The sequence below is a fragment of the Homo sapiens genome, chromosome 8 (genome assembly GCF_000001405.40).
Source record: "Homo sapiens chromosome 8, GRCh38.p14 Primary Assembly".
NCBI lineage: Eukaryota > Metazoa > Chordata > Mammalia > Primates > Hominidae > Homo > Homo sapiens.
The window spans coordinates 70,732,830-70,749,661 of record NC_000008.11 but is presented as its reverse complement, the minus strand read 5'-3'; the positions used below and the strand labels follow the sequence as shown (position 1 = coordinate 70,749,661).

Genomic DNA, 16,832 nt, shown 5'->3' with positions numbered 1-16,832 from the left:
TGCCTGCCAAGGGTGAGCCAGGCACAGAGTGGTGAGAGGTGTGTGAGTGAGCAAGCATGGGTCCAGCCACTGTGCACAGCCAGGCATGCCAGGTGAGGCATGGGGGCAGCTCCAGGCACTGGCACAGATGCCGACTCCATGTGAGGCTGTGGCTGGACCAAATGTACCACAAGTAGCTTCTGCTGCAGGCAGCAACATCTAGACAAAGGGAATTTGGTGGCACCTGAAAGCTTGGAGGCACAGGTAACCACAGAACTCCAAAGAGGGTGTTACAGTATGTTCACAGCCCTGGCTTGGGGAGCCCTGAGGTCTAGACTCCCAGAAGGGCCGCAGCTCTTCTCTCCTTCTCGTCACCCACAATGTGGCAGGCATGGAGCATGTTTCAGCCCCGTTTGTATTACAGCTCTTTCAGTCCCACCATTCAGCAGGCCCCAAGTTCTTGTCCCACATCCAGGAAGAGTGAGGTACACAAACAACTGGAGGGTGAGCAATGCAGAGAAGATCTTCACTGAGTGACAGAACAACTCTCAGGAGACCTGAAGTGGGTCACTCCTTTGGGTAGCTACTTTCTGTAGGCAGGTCATCCCGATGAATGTCCAGCTCTCAGCAGAGAGGAGACCCATGGTGGGTAGCTCCTTTCCACAGGCAGGTTGTCCAGGTAAGTGTCCAGCTCTCAGCACAGAGGAGACCTATGGTGGGTAGCTCCTTTATGCAGGCAGGTCATCCTGAAGAGTTGAGGAGACCTGAAGTAGGTAGCTCCTCCCCAGAGCTTGTAGTCCCAATGTCTGAGTCTGGCTGAGTCTGGGGTTTTTGTGGGCTCAGAAGGGAGGAAGTGCATGCTGATTGGTCCATGGGCAGCCATGGGCAAGCCTGGAAAAAGCACCATAAATTCTCATCTGGGCAGTGGATTCTACCCAGAACTGACAGCCTGGCCTCCAGGCTTCAGGCTGTCCCTGGCTAGAAGGTGGGGCTTCACTGGGAACCTGCCCTTTTCCACCAGGAACCTGTCTGCCTCCTGCTACCATCAACATGCCATCCACAGCGCCCAGGCTCCTCATGCCAAGGGGCACCTGCAGACCTGCACAGAGCCACCCTCAGCCCCCACCAGCCTCCCTCCCACGCTTGTCAGTACCCAAAGTCTAGAGGGAGCCAAGGTTGCAGGGGGCTGGCATGTTTGTGCCTCTCTGAATGCACACACACCCAGCCAGGTCACAATAGCACCCAGGCTTGGCTACAACTTTGCTCCACACCAGAGAAGGCGCCAGGAGCGGGGAGAGACTAGAAAGCAGGAGCAGACACTTCCAAGCCTGTGGGGGGAAGGGGGCTTCCTGGGCCCCTGCGAGTGCAGGGATGCCCAGGTCTAGAGCTGCAGCTGGGCAGCTACATCTGCGCCCAGGAGCACAGGTCTCCCACTGACTCAGTAGGGGGCAGGGCTCCCACCTGCTCCTGCTGGCTCTGCAGAACAGGGCAGCCCCAGCCACACCTCCCCCGCTGCAACCCACTTCTTCACAGTGGCCATTCCAGATGGGCCGCCCCTGTCATTAATATAATTCTAAATTTTTTTATATGATTGTTGCTATCTCGTACATGTGGAAGTAATTTTACAAAGATATAATAACAACATCAAAATCAAGTTCAAAAAATACTATCTTGGTGAAAGAATATCAAAAACAGAAAATTTCAGGGATAGTCACAGTCTACAAAACACCATCACATATAGTATCTCACTGATTTTTCACAATAGTCCATGAAGACATTATTATTATTAAATATGTAATTCTTATTTTACATATGCAGAAACTGGGTCTTAAATGACTCATAAATGTCATCCAAAAAATAATGTCAAGTCTAGGAATCAAACTCCAGTCTTTGGACTTTAAATAAAAATTTCTACATTGCAATTAAAAGTAATTGTTGCCTCAAGCCAAGAATTAAGGCTACTCAGAAAGGTATCTAAGACTCTACCTATCTATCTTAATCTGTTTTCTGTTGATTATAACAGAATACCTCAAACTGGATAATTTATAAAGAAACAAATGTGTTTCTTACAGTTCAGGAGGCTGGGAAGTCCAAGGTCAAGGGACCACATCTGGTGAGACCCTTCTTGCTGGTGGGAACTCTCTGCAGCATCTCAAGGCCACACAGGGCATCCCATAGCAACGGGGCTGACTATGCTAGCTCAGGTCTCTCTTCTACTTCTTAAAAAGCCACCAGTACCACTCCCATTATAACCCATTAATGTATTAACCTATTAATCCACTAATCTATGAATGGATAAATTCATTTATGAGGCAATGCATTCATGACCCAATCCCCTGTGGAAAGCAGTTTGGAGATTTCTCAAAGAACTAAAAGCAGAATTACCATTCAACCCAGCAATACCATTACTGGGTATATATCCAAAGGAAAATAAACCATTCTACCAAAAAGTCACCCGCACTCATGTCTATCTCAGCACTATTCACAATAACAAAGACATGGCATCAACCCAGGTGTTTATCAATGGTGGACTGAATAAAGAAAATGTGGTAAATATACACCACAGAATACTACACAGCCATAAATAAGAACAAAATCATGTCCTCTGCAGAACCATGGATAGCTGGAGGCCATTATCGTAAGTGAATTAACACAGAAACAGAAAACCACATGTTCTCACTTATAAGTGGGAGCTAAACAATGGGTATACATGGACACAGAGATGGGAACAATAAACACTGGGGATTCCAAAAGGGAGAAGACAGGGAGGAGGGCAAGGGTTGAAAATTTACCCATCGTGTACTATGTTTACTACTTGGACAATGGGATCAATAGACGCTAAAACCTCAGCATCACATAATATACCAATGTAACAAATCTGCACATATACTCCTGAATCTGAAAAAAAAAAGGCCCCACCTCTCAATACTGCCATATTGGGGATTAAGTTTAAGCATGAGTTTTGGGGAAGACAGACATTCAAACCATAGCACTATCAAGACAGAATTTTTAAAGTGCAGCAACAGCAGCAAAGAAATTTTCAAGTTCTGTACCAGTCTAGGCAAAAAGAAAATATAACAGTCCTGCAAACTACATCTTTTCATTTTCCTCTAGTCCTTTCCTACCATCAAAGCAATATATCTAAAAGAAAGAAACTGCAAATTCCCTATACTCTGTGATCTTTATATTCCATGAATATAATTATAATATATAATTATATTTTATATGTTTTATACATTATATATTTCTATATATCATATATACAATATATTTTACTTTATTTGTTTTGTATATAATTATATTTTATATTATATATAATTATATTCTTTATATTCTATATTCTTTATTCTGTTTCAATAAGCACTTCAGGTGATTCTGATGCACACTAAAGAATGAGAACCACTAGTCTATGAGAAGCATAGTATTCATATTTGAAGATATGAATGTATAATCATATTCTTTATGGAATATAATTATATACTATATGCTGTTTATTTTACTGTATATAACATATAATTATATATTTATTATATGCTGTTTAACATTTTAAAAAAGTACTTAAGTCCCACTTTCACAAAATAAAAGGCACAAATCTTAAAATGAAGGATACCATTTAACTACATAATCATCTCTGTAACAAACTAGATCTAATATCAAAATATAGCCTCTTTGGGAAACGACAAATGGTTCATGTTAACCCCAAAGACATGTATATGTGCAAATGCTCAGCTAGAAAAGTCCAACTTTGAATTTATTGTAATCATTAAGTGGGGCATCAGCCAGAGTTAGAGATGCATTATATATCTCTGACCCCCACAATCACAAGGACAAGATTTACAATTGGAAATGAGCATCAAGATATTGTGCAAGAAATTAATGTTTGGCTTTGGTGTTCTCCTGGCTTGTAGCAATACATAGTTGATCCCATAAACCAGGGAACAAATTAGGCAGCACGTCCAATTTCTCTGTGGTTCCATTGCCCTCTAGTGGCTGTTTTGAAACTAATTATTAACTGATAGCCTTCAAAAGTCAACGGGGATTCTCAAAGAAGGGAGGGGAGAACAGCAGCATCAGCAACATCCGGGAACTTTTTTAAACACGCAAATTTCAAGCCCTACCTAATGCCTACTAAAAAGAAACTCAGGATAGGGGCCAGCAATGTGTTTCAATAAGCACTCCAGGAGATTCTGATGCACACTAAAGGTTGAGAACCACTAGTCTATGAGGAGAGTATTCATATTTGAAGATGTGAATGTATATAGGTGCATATGAGTGTTCTTTTATGAAAGTATTGCTCATAATTATTTTTCTTTTTTAAATTTCAAAAGGCCTTTTATATACACATAATAATCTAGAAAAAGCCCAAAATTTAGTTGCGGAAATTTAAAAGTCTTATAAAGCCATGACTGAACCATATAGAACATGAGGATAAAATTAATTAAGTTCATTCTATATTAAAAGTTCATTTTAAAAGCTTACTATTTAGCCAAAACATCTGACCAGGATCTTCCCATTTATTTCTTGGCTATAAAACCAATAAGAAAATGTTTGTTGGATGGAATGAATACTTAATCTATGTTTGTGTGGGACACTTAGCATTCAAGCTCCTTAGTAGATGTATAATATATTATTTCCTACCCTTTTTCCCATTACATATATTGTTAATTGGATTATTCAAGCTAACAGTGACACAAGTCCAGCTCTACCTTGAGCTAAAGCTGAAAAACATTTAGGCTAGACTTTTTAAAAAACTATATCATAGGCAAATAAATCATTCAGGCTGGCATGGTAACTCATGCCTGTAATCCCAGCACTTTGGGAGGCCGAGGCAGGTAGATCACTTGAGGCCAAGAGTTTAAGACCAGCCTGGCCAACATGGCAAAACCCAATCTCTACCAAAAATACAAAAATTAGCCAGGCGTGGTGGTGCACACCTGTAGTCCCAGCTACCTGAGTGGCTGAGGCACAAGAATCACGCGAACCCAGGAGGTGGAGGTTGTGGTGAGCCACGATCGCACCACTGCACTCCAGCCTGGGTGACAGAGCAAGACTCTATCACAAAAATAATAATTTTTAAATAATGCATAACTTAGCATAGCTGTAGGTAACCTATTCATCAGATAAAGATAGCATGGTTTCACAAAAAATGAACTGGATTTGAGGTGAAAAAGCCTGAGATTGGATCTGTGTGGACTTTGGCAAATTACTTAAACTCTATGAGCCTTGGTTCTCCCAGTTAAAGGGTAGTGATGATAATAATATCTATATTGCAGTTTTTATCAGGGTCATAAGTAGGGATGAGAGAGAACTAAATGTTAAAAAGCTTTACACATCTTGTCTAAGTAAATATTACAGAAAGATTTTTTTTTTTTGAGGCGAAGTCTCGCTCTGTCACCCAGGCTGCAGTGCAATGGCATGATCTCGGCTCACTGCAGCTTCTGCCTCCCCAGTTCGAGTGATTCTCCTTCCTCAGCCTCCCAAGTAGCTGGGATTAGAGGCGCCTGCTACCACACCTAGCTAATTTTTGTATTTTTAGTAGAGATGGGGTTTCATCATGTTGACCAGAGTGGTCTTGAACTCCTGACGTCAGGTAATGCACCCGCCTCAGCCTCCCAAAGTGCTGGCAGAAAGACTGGCAAACATTACAGAAAGATTACTGAAAATGTTATAGATTAATAAGAAGGTGGGTATATCTCTTACTGCACAAATCGTCTCACAAATAACCACTATGAACTCTGGACAAAACACTGGTAATTACCTCAAAGCACTTCACAGCAAAAAAAAGCAAGCAGACACTGGAGAGAGGTCGACATCTGGAAGAAGGAATGGCACTGAGTGAGAGCAGACCCCACTCAGCATACCAACTACACAAAATCCAAATTTAAAAACCTACAGTTTTAGTGGTTTTAAGGCCCAGAGAACAGAGTATGTGGTGATCACAACTGCTGAAAAATGAGGTGGAAAATCTAGGAGAAAAATAGAACCAACAGAAAGGAAGTCTCACTTCATATATTAATTCTGCCCAATTTTAGGCTGACCGTGAACTATGCATATAAGGGGAAGACTCGATGCAGCTCACTGAAGGTTAAATAAAGATTGTTTAGAGTTCAGAGTTTAAAGTTCAAGTTACTGCCTGCTGAAAAGAAAAAAAAATGTTTCTCTGAAGAACAAAAATAATCAAGAGGATCTAAAATGTATCATTCATACCATCCAGGAAACAATTCAAAATTAGTAGCCATATGAGCAAACGTGAAAATGTAACCCATACTCAAGAGAAAAGGCAATGAATGGAGACCAATCCCAAAATGACCCAGGTATTGGAATTAGTGGACAGATTTTAAAGCAGCTATTTTAAATATGATCAAGGATATAAAGAAAAATATGCTTATGATATATAAAAATACATAAAATTTTAGCAAAGAAATAGAAACCATAAAAAGAACCCAAGGAAATTTCAAGAACATAAAAATGCAGTATCTGAAAAATGTTAAAAATTCATTATATGAACTTAACAGTAGATTGAAGATACGGGAAATGTCAACCTGAAGAAAACTCCAATCTAAAGAACAGAGAAACAAATTGGAAAAAAATGAACAGAGCCTCAGGAATAGGTGGGAGAATATCAATAGGTCTAACACATTTGGAAGTGGACTCCAAGAAGATAAAGAAGAAGAAAAACCATGAGAATAATAATGGCCAGAAACTTCCTAAATATAATAGAAGACAAAAATTTACAGGTTCAAGAAACTTGGAGAATCCTATGCAGGAGAAATACAAAGAAAAAACTAGAAAAAAAATACTATACACATGAACACAGTAGTCATACAACTGCAAACCAACAGCTAAAGGTAAAAATCTCAAGAATAGCTAGAGAAAAACAACAAATTACACACAGGGGAATAATGATGTAAATGATCACTAACTTTTTATCAGAAACAATGGAGACCAGACAATAGTGGAGTGATGTCTTTAAAACACTTAAAGGAAGGAAAAAACCTGTCAACTCAGAACTCTATATCCAACAAAAATATCCTACAAGAATGAAAGATAAATAAAGATATGTTCAGATTTAAAAAAAATTAAAAAAGAAATCATCACTAACAAACCTAACCTATACAAAAAAACTATAACAAATTATCTAGGCTGAAGAGAAATAATAACACATAGACATTTAAATCTTCAGAAAAAAACGAAGAACACTTTCACTTTATGATTCAAAGTCTTTAGGCCCTTTATTACTCAAAGATTCCGAATCAAGTGCTGCCAAGCAGCTTAACTTCTTTTCTCACCTTCACCCCACAAACATACAAGCAAACATATACACCAAACATGCAGAAACAGGGAGCTATGTAATTATACAAGAATCATGTGCCCAAGGTAAACCGAAGATTTCCTACCTCCTAAAAGAGTAAATGGTTCACACTGCTTAACTTTCTCAAAGAGTAGCATAAGGGACATATTACTGAGTTTTTGCCCAGTTTTAATCTGGTTATTTAGGCTTTTTTGTTGTTATTCAGTTACAGAAGTTATTTATATACTCTGGATGTTAACCCTTAATTAAATATAGAGAGTTCTCCAAAGAAGATATATGAATGGCCAATAAGCACATAAAAAGATGATTAACATCACTAATCATTAAAGAAATCCAAATAAAAACTACAAAGAAATATCATCTCATATTCATTAGGGTGACCATTATCAAAAGAAAAAAAAAAAACAGAATACAACACGTGTTGGTGAGGATATAGAGAAACTGGGGCATTTATGCAATGTTGGTGGGATTGTAAAATAGTGCAGCCATTATGGAAACAGTATAAAGGTTCCTCAAAATAACCACCATATGATCAAGAAATCCTACTTCTGAATAGGATTTAAAACAGAATTACCACGTGATCAAGTAATCCCACTTCTGAGTACATATCCAAAAGAACTGAAAGCAGAATCTCAAAGAAGTATTTGTAAACCCATGTTCACTGTTGCACTATTCACAATAGCCAAGAGGTGGAAGCAACCCAAATATCCATTCATCAATCCATTCATCAATGAATGAATGGATAAACAAAATGTGGCATACATATAAAATGGAATACTATTCAGTCTTAAAAAAAGAAGTAAATCTTGTCACATGCTAAAATATGAAGCTTAAAGACATTATGCTCAACGAACTAAGCCAGTAACAAAAGACAAATACAATATGAATACACTTACATGTGTCTCAGTCTGTTTTCCGCTGAATACCAGGGACTGGGTAATTTATAAAGAAAAGTTTACTTCACTAATGGTTTCAGAGCCTGGGAAGGCCAAGAGCATAGCACTAGCATCTGATGAGGGCCTCTTTGCTCTATCATAACATGGCAGAGGGCATCAAATAGTGACAGCAAGAGTGTGCTAGCTCAGGTCTCTCTTCCTCTTCTCATAAAACCACCAGTCCCATCATGGAGAACCCACCCTGATAACCTTATCTAAACTAATCTTAAATACTGCCCAAAGTCCCCACCACCTACACCCACCATTGCCCAGGCTTGCTTAGGTAAACAAAGCAGCCCAGATGCTCGAACTGGGTGGAACCCACCACAGCTCAAGGAGGCCTGCCTGCCTCTGTAGGCTCCACCTCTGGGGGCAGGGCACAGACAAACAAAAAGACAGCAGTAACCTCTGCAGACTTCAATGTCCCTGTCTGACAGCTTTTGAAGAGAGCAGTGGTTCTCCCAGCCCGCAGCTGGAGATCTCAGAACGGGCAGACTGCCTCCTCAAGTGGGTCCCTGACCCCTGACCCCGAGCAGCCTAACTGGGAGGCAACCCCCAGGAGGGGCAGACTGACACCTCACACGGCCAGGTACTCCTCTGAGACAAAACTTTCAGAGGAACGATCAGACAGCAGCATTCGTGGTTCACGAAAATCCACTGTTCTGCAGCCACCGCTGCTAGAACACAGGCAAACAGGGTCTGGAGTGGACCTCTAGCAAACTCCAACAGACCTGCAGCTGAGGGTCCTGTCTGTCAGAAGGAAAACTAACAAACAGAAAGGACATCCACACCAAAAACCCATCTGTACATCACCATCATCAAAGACCAAAAGTAGATAAAACCACAAAGATGGGGAAAAAAACAGAGCAGAAAAACTGGAAACTCTAAAAAGCAGAGCACCTCTCCTCCAAAGGAACGCAGTTCCTCACCAGCAACAGAACAAAGCTGGACAGAGAATGACTTTGACGAGTTGAGAGAAGAAGGCTTCAGATGATCAAACTACTCCGAGCTACAGGAGGAAATTCAAACCAAAGGCAAAGAAGTTAAAAACTTTGAAAAAAATTTAGACAAATGTATAACTAGAATAACCAATACAGAGAAGTGCTTAAAGGAGCTGATGGAGCTGAAAACCAAGGCTCGAGAACTACGTGAAGAATGCAGAAGACTCAGGAGCCAATGCGATCAACTGGAAGAAAGGGTATCAGTGATGGAAGATGAAATGAATGAAATGAAGCGAGAAGGGAAGTTTAGAGAAAAAAGAATAAAAAGAAACGAACAAAGCCTCCAAGAAATATGGGACTATGTGAAAAGACCAAATCTACATCTGATTGCTGTACCTGAAAGTGACGGGCAGAATGGAACCAAGTTGGAAAACACTCTGCAGGATATTATCCAGGAGAACTTCCCCAGTCTACCAAGGCAGGCCAACATTCACATACAGGAAATACAGAGAACGCCACAAAGATACTCCTCAAGAAGAGCAACTCCAAGACACATAATTGTCAGATTCACCAAAGTTGAAATGAAGGAAAAAATGTTAAGGGCAGCCAGAGAGAAAGGTTGGGTTACCCACAAAGGGAAGCCCATCAGACCAACGGCGGATCTCTCGGCAGAAACTCTACAAGCCAGAAGAGAGTGGGGGCCAATATTCAACATTCTGAAAGAAAAGAATTTTCAACCCAGAATTTCATATCCAGACAAACTAAGCTTAATAAGTGAAGGAGAAATAAAATACTTTACAGACAAGCAAATGCTGAGAGATTTTGTCACCACCAAGCTTGCCCTAAAAGAGCTCCTGAAGGAAGCACTAAACATGGAAAGGAACAACCGGTACCAGCCACTGCAAAATCATGCCAAATTGTAAAGACCATCGAGGCTAGGAAGAAACTGCATCAACTAATGAGCAAAATAACCAGCTAACATCATAATGACAGGATCAAATTCGCACATAACAATATTAACTTTAAATGTAAATGGACTAAATGCTCCAGTTAAAAGACACAGACTGGCAAATTGGATAAAGAGTCAAGACCCATCAGTGTGCTGTATTCAGGAAACCCATCTCATGTGCAGAGACACACATAGGCTCAAAATAAAAGGATGGAGGAAGATGTACCAAGCAAATGGAAAACAAAAAAGGCAGGGATTGCAATCATAGTCTCTGATAAAAGAGACTTTAAACCAACAAACATCAAAAGAGACAAAGAAGGCCATTACTTAATGGTAAAGGGATCAATTCAACAAGAAGAGCTCACTATCCTAAATATATATACACCCAATACAGGAGCACCCAGATTCATAAAGCAAGTCCTGAGTGACCTACAAACAGACTTAGATTCCCACACAATAATAATGGGAGACTAACACCTCATTGTCAACATTAGACAGATCAACAAGACAGAAAGTTAACAAGGATACCCAGGAATTGAACTCAGCTCTGCACCAAGCGGACCTAATAGACATCTACAGAACTCTCCACCCCAAATCAACAGAATATACATTTCTTTCAGTACCACACCACACCTATTCCAAAATTGACCACATACTTGGAAGTAAAGCTCTCCTCAGCAAATGTAAAACACCAGAAATTATAACAAACTGTCTCTCAGACCACAGTGCAATCAAACTAGAACTCAGGATTAAGAAACTCACTCAAAACCACTCAACTACACGGAAACTGAACAACCTGCTCCTGAATGACTACTGGGTACATAACGAAATGAAGGCAGAAATAAAGATGTTCTTTGAAACCAACGAGAACAAAGACACAACATACCAGAATCTCTGGGACACATTCAAGGCAGTGTATAGAGGGAAATTTATAGCACTAAATGCCCACAAGAGAAAGCAGGAAAGATCAAAAATTGACACCCTAACATCACAATTAAAAGAACTAGAAAAGCAAGGGCAAACACATTCAAAAGGTAGCAGAAGGCAAGAAATAACTAAAATCAGACCAGAACTGAAGGAAATAGAGACACAAAAAACCCTTCAAAAAATTAATGAATCCAGGAGCTGATTTTTTGAAAGGATCAACAAAATTGATAGACCGCTAGCAAGACTAATAAAGAAGAAAAGAGAAAAGAATCAAATAGACACAATAAAAAATGATAAAGGGGACATCACCACCGATCCCACAGAAATACAAACTACCATCAGAGAATACTATAAACACCTCTACACAAATAAACTAGAAAATCTAGAAGAAATGGATAAATTCCTTGACACATACACCCTCCCAACACTAACCCAGGAAGAAGTTGAATCTCTGAATAGACCAATAACAGGATCTGAAATTGTGGCAATAATCAATAGCTTACCAACCAAAAAGAGTCCAGGACCAGATGGATTCACAGCCGAATTCTACCAGAGGTACAAGGAGGAACTGGTACCATTCCTTCTGAAACTATTCCACTCAATAGAAAAAGAGGGAATCCTCCCTAACTCATTTTATGAGGCCAGCATCATCCGGATACCAAAGCCTGGCAGAGACACAACCAAAAAAGAGAATTTTAGACCAATATCCTTGATGAACATTGATGCAAAAATCCTCAATAAAATACTGGCAAACCGAATCCAGCAGCACATCAAAAAGCTTATCCACCATGATCAAGTGGGCTTCATCCCTGGGATGCAAGGCTGGTTCAATATATGCAAATCAAGAAATGTAATCCAGCATATAAACAGAACCAAAGACAAAAACCACATGATTATCTCAATAGATGCAGAAAAGGCCTTTGACAAAATTCAACAACGCTTCATGCTAAAAACTCTCAATAAATTAGGTATTGATGGGATGTATCTCAAAATAATAAGAGCTATCTATGACAAACCCACAGCCAATATCATACTGAATGGGCAAAAACTGGAAGCATTCCCTTTGAAAACTGGCACAAGACAGGGATGCCCTCTCTCACCACTCCTATTCAACATAGTGTTGGAAGTTCTGGCCAGGGCAATTAGGCAGGAGAAGGAAATAAAGGGTATTCAATCAGGAAAAGAGGAAGTCAAATTGTCCCTGTTTGCAGATGACATGATTGTATATCTAGAAAACCCCATTGTCTCAGCCCAAAATCTCCTTAAGCTGATAAGCAACTTCGGCAAAGTCTCAGGATACAAAATCAATGTACAAAAATCACAAGCATTCTTATACACCAATAACAGACAAACAGAGAGCCAAATCATGAGTGAACTCCCATTCACAATTGCTTCAAAGAGAATAAAATACTTAGGAATCCAACTTACAAGGGATGTGAAGGACCTCTTCAAGGAGAACTACAAACCACTGCTCAGTGAAATAAAAGAGGATACAAACAAATGGAAGAACATTCCATGCTCATGGATAGGAAGAATCAATATCATGAAAATGGCCATACTGCCGAAGGTAATTTATAGATTCAATGTCATCCCCATAAAGCTACCAATGACTTTCTTCACAGAATTGGAAAAAACTACTTTAAAGTTCATATGGAACCAAAAAAGAGCCCGCATCGCCGAGTCAATCCTAAGCCAAAAGAACAAAGCTGGAGGCATCACGCTACCTGACTTCAAACTATACTACAAGGCTACAGTAACCAAAACAGCATGGTACTGGTACCAAAACAGAGATATAGATCAATGGAACAGAACAGAGCCCTCAGAAATAACGCCGCATATCTACAACTATCTGATCTTTGACAAACCTGACAAAAACAAGCAATGGGGAAAGGATTCCCTATTTAATAAATGGTGCTGGGAAAACTGGCTAGCCATATGTAGAAAGCTGAAACTGGATCCCTTCCTTACACCTTATACAAAAGTTAATTCAAGATGGATTAAAGACTTAAATGTTAGACCTAAAACCATAAAATCCCTAGAAGAAAACCTAGGCATTACCATTCAGGACATAGGCATGGGCACAGAATTCATGTCTAAAACACCAAAAGCAATGGCAACAAAAGCCAAAATTGACAAATGGGATCTAATTAAAATAAAGAGCTTCTGCACAGCAAAAGAAATTACCATCAGAGTGAACAGGCAACCTACAAAATGGGAGAAAATGTTCGCAACCTACTCATCTGACAAAGGGCTAATATCCAGAATCTACAATGAACTCAAACAAATTTACAAGAAAAAACAAACAACCCCATCAAAAAGTGGGCGAAGGACATGAACAGACACTTCTCAAAAGAAGACATTTATTTATGCAACCAAAAAACACATGAAAAAATGCTCACCATCACTGGCCATCAGAGAAATGCAAATCAAAACCACAATGAGATACCATCTCACACCAGTTAGAATGGCAATCATTAAAAAGTCAGGAAACAACAGGTGCTGGAGAGGATGTGGAGAAATAGGAACACTTTTACACTGTTGCTGGGACTGTAAACTCGTTCAACTATTGTGGAAGTCAGTGTGGTGATTCCTCAGGGATCTAGAACTAGAAATACCATTTGACCCAGCCATCCCATTACTGGGTATATACCCAAAGGATTATAAATCATGCTGCTATAAAGACACATGCACACGTATGTTTATTGCAGCACTATTCACAATAGCAAAGACTTGGAACCAACCCAAATGTCCAACAACAATAGACTGGATTAAGAAAATGTGGCACATATACACCATGGAATACTATGCAGCCATAAAAAATGATGAGTTCATGTCCTTTGTAGGGACATGGATGAAGCTGGAAATCATCATTCTCAGTAAACTATCGCAAGAACAAAAAACCAAACACTGCATATTCTCACTCATAGGTGGGAACTGAACAATGAGAACACATGGACACAGGAAGGGGATCATCACACTCTGGGGACTGTTGTGGGGTGGGGGGAGGGGGGAGGGATAGCTTTAGGAGATATACCTAATGATAAATGACGAGTTAATGGGTGCAGCACACCAGCATGGCACATGTATACATATGTAACTAACCTGCACATTGTGCACATGTACCCTAAACCTTAAAGTATAATAATAATAATAATAATATAAAATTAAAAAATTAAAAATAAATAAATAAACAAAGTCCCCACCACTTCCAAATGCCATCAACATACAAATTTGGAGATTAAGTTTCACACACATGAAATCTGGGGGGCACATTCAAACCATGGCAACAAGGTATCTAAAGTATTCAAACTCATAGAAACAAAAAATTATAATTTCAGTTGAGAGAGACTTGGGGAAGGAGGAAATGGGGATTTGTTCAATAAATAGAGAATCTTAGTTTTACAAGGTGAAAAAGTCCTTGAGATCTGTTGCACAAGGTGAATACAGTTAACACTGATGAACTGTACACTCAAAGTGATTAAGATGGTAAATTTTATATGTTTTTACCATAATTTTTTAAAAATAAAAATAATTTTAAAATATGATTTAGATACAACTATTCTAGCACAAATAGGATTAATATAATTATATGTTAAGAGTGCATTAATTCAGAAAAGCTAGGAAATAAGTAAATAATGAAATGTCAGACCTCTCAGATGCACACCAATTCTCTTTTGCACTTACTGAATTGGAGATTTCATGGATGAAAGCACAGCAGATGCTAAAAATTTGTTTTCTGCTTTCCCTTCTTTCCCTTTTCCTCTACTCAACCTGTCCCCAACTGCAAATATATGCACTGAAGACAATAAAGGAAAAAATAATACAGTGTTCTGCTTTTCTCTTCCCTTTGCAGTCCTCCATAACAGGTACAGTAGTATTAGTTCAGGAACAAGGAAAATGGGAGGGAAGCTCAATTCCAGCCTTCTCATTATGAAAACCAGACCATTTCTTATATTTCAGGCTCAAGATGGCAGCTCTACCAGGCAGTAGAAAGATATCTGAGTACTCAAGATCTTCAAAACCAAATGAGAAATTAATTTTAAAAATAAAATACTACTATGTATCTCCTATTTCACTGAACTAATTTCAAATTAAAGGTGGCAAAAATAAGAGACAACACACCCACATAACACACATTTTCTTTACTAACCAATGAAACAAAATATAAGAAAATATATATCATAAATGAATAGCTTATTCCATTAGGAAATATCTCATTCTACATTCTCTTAGAACTGGTTTTCCATCAATTTCATCACATTTTGTTTCTGCACTTCTGTTTGGGTGAAAACTCCCATAATAAACAATAAGAAAAAGAATTCCAAGAAGAAGAGTAAGAACTATAGTTATACTGATAGGTATAAAATAGTCTGGATTAAAAATAGTGAGGGGGCAAACCCAGAATACAGTCAATATCCCCAAAGTGCCCAGTACCCTAACAATATAATAACAAGACATTGGACACTTGGTATTCTGTCCCTTAATATTAAAAAATGTAAAGATAAGAATGAATCCAACAACAATCCTATATAAGAATTCCATACTTATACAAGTACAAAACTGGGTGTTGTTTTTAAATGCCCATATTATACCTAACAACCAAAGAAATAACAACAGAAATAAAGCAATCTTAACATTTAAGAATAGTAGAAGTACAACACTCAGCATCCACGATAATAATGTAAACAACTTGTAAAAGAGATATGTGATTTTGGGACATAATCCATTAAGAAGCTTTTTGTCAGGCAAGGATTTTCTTAAAGCTACTTGATAATCAACAGTTGACCAAGAAATAGCACAGCAAGAGACCATGATGGCCGCATCTACAAAACAAAAAAATAAAAAATATATTGTTATAGGAATAATAGAAATATTAGATTACTATATCCCATACATGCTATATCTATATACACACACCCACAAACACGTCACATACTTTACTCTTCTCATCTAATCTTTTGAAGTAGATATTATTATGTATGGGGGAACTGAGACTTGGAGAGATACACTGCTTGACCCAAGTTGCAAAGCTAGTAAGTTGCAGAACTGAGATTTGAACCTGATTCCAAAGTGGATAGATTTATCCACTATATTAGACTGTTTTATTATGATTTTTTAAAAATTCATGGGACAAATTTTATTGAGCAACTGATATACTGAAAAAAGCATACTCTGTGAGTTAAGAGACTACAGTTATAATCCTAGTTTTTCTAGATGTTTTGACTGTGATTTTAGGCATACACCCAATTCACTAAGAGATAATAGCTTCAAGCAGGGGTAAGGGAAGGAGAGGAGGAGGGGTAGAGAGAGAGAAAGAGGGTTAAACAGAAAATTTAATATGAGATATTAAACAAGCCCAACTTCCCATATCCTGAAGATATTGAAACAAGTGAATGAGTATGTTCTAAAACTTACAACTTTCTGTAGGATTGATATCTATACCCCATTTTTTCTCAGCAAATAACAGAAAAGTAAGTTAATTACCACTCTCTTTATTTCTTTCCTTCTTTTTGAGATGGAGTCTCACTCTGTCACTATGGCTGGAGTGCAGTGGTGCAATGTTGACCTCCACCTCCCGGGTTCAACCAATTCACCTGCCTCAGCCTCCTGAGTAGCTGGGCTACAGGCCCATGCCACCACACCAAGCTAACTTCTGTATTTTTAGTACAGATGGAGTTTCACCATGTTGGCGAGGCTGGTCTCAAACTCCTGACCTCAATTGATCCACCCAGCTCAGCCTCCCAAAGGGCTAGGATTACAGGCGTGAGCCACTGCACCTGGCCTACCAC

At 39.0% G+C, this 16,832-nt stretch overlaps 1 protein-coding gene across 8 annotated transcripts in view, besides 1 other annotated feature; it reads right to left on the bottom strand.

Annotated features, from left to right (window-relative positions):
• XKR9 (XK related 9) overlaps positions 1 to 16,832 on the bottom strand; it is a 396,467-nt gene that overhangs the window by 316,144 nt on the left and 63,491 nt on the right. For 7 of the 8 annotated variants that reach the window (XM_011517525.3, XM_011517524.4, NM_001287259.2 and 4 more), the window contains one exon: positions 13,720 to 15,866. The exons of the other annotated variant lie outside the window; for it this stretch is intronic. In XM_011517525.3, the coding sequence (XP_011515827.1) occupies positions 15,238 to 15,866 (629 nt within the window). In that variant the 3' untranslated portion in view covers positions 13,720 to 15,237. Of the gene's footprint in view, positions 1 to 13,719; positions 15,867 to 16,832 lie in introns of those variants that run through there. 8 annotated transcript variants of the gene reach the window in all.
• Positions 1,389 to 1,889: an enhancer, noted in NCBI's record as "H3K4me1 hESC enhancer chr8:71660008-71660508 (GRCh37/hg19 assembly coordinates)". NCBI's record gives its function as "activates a minimal SCP1, AML or CMV promoter by ChIP-STARR-seq in naive H9 embryonic stem cells {active_cell/tissue: H9 hESC(naive)}" and the evidence as "EXISTENCE:reporter gene assay evidence [ECO:0000049][PMID:30033119]".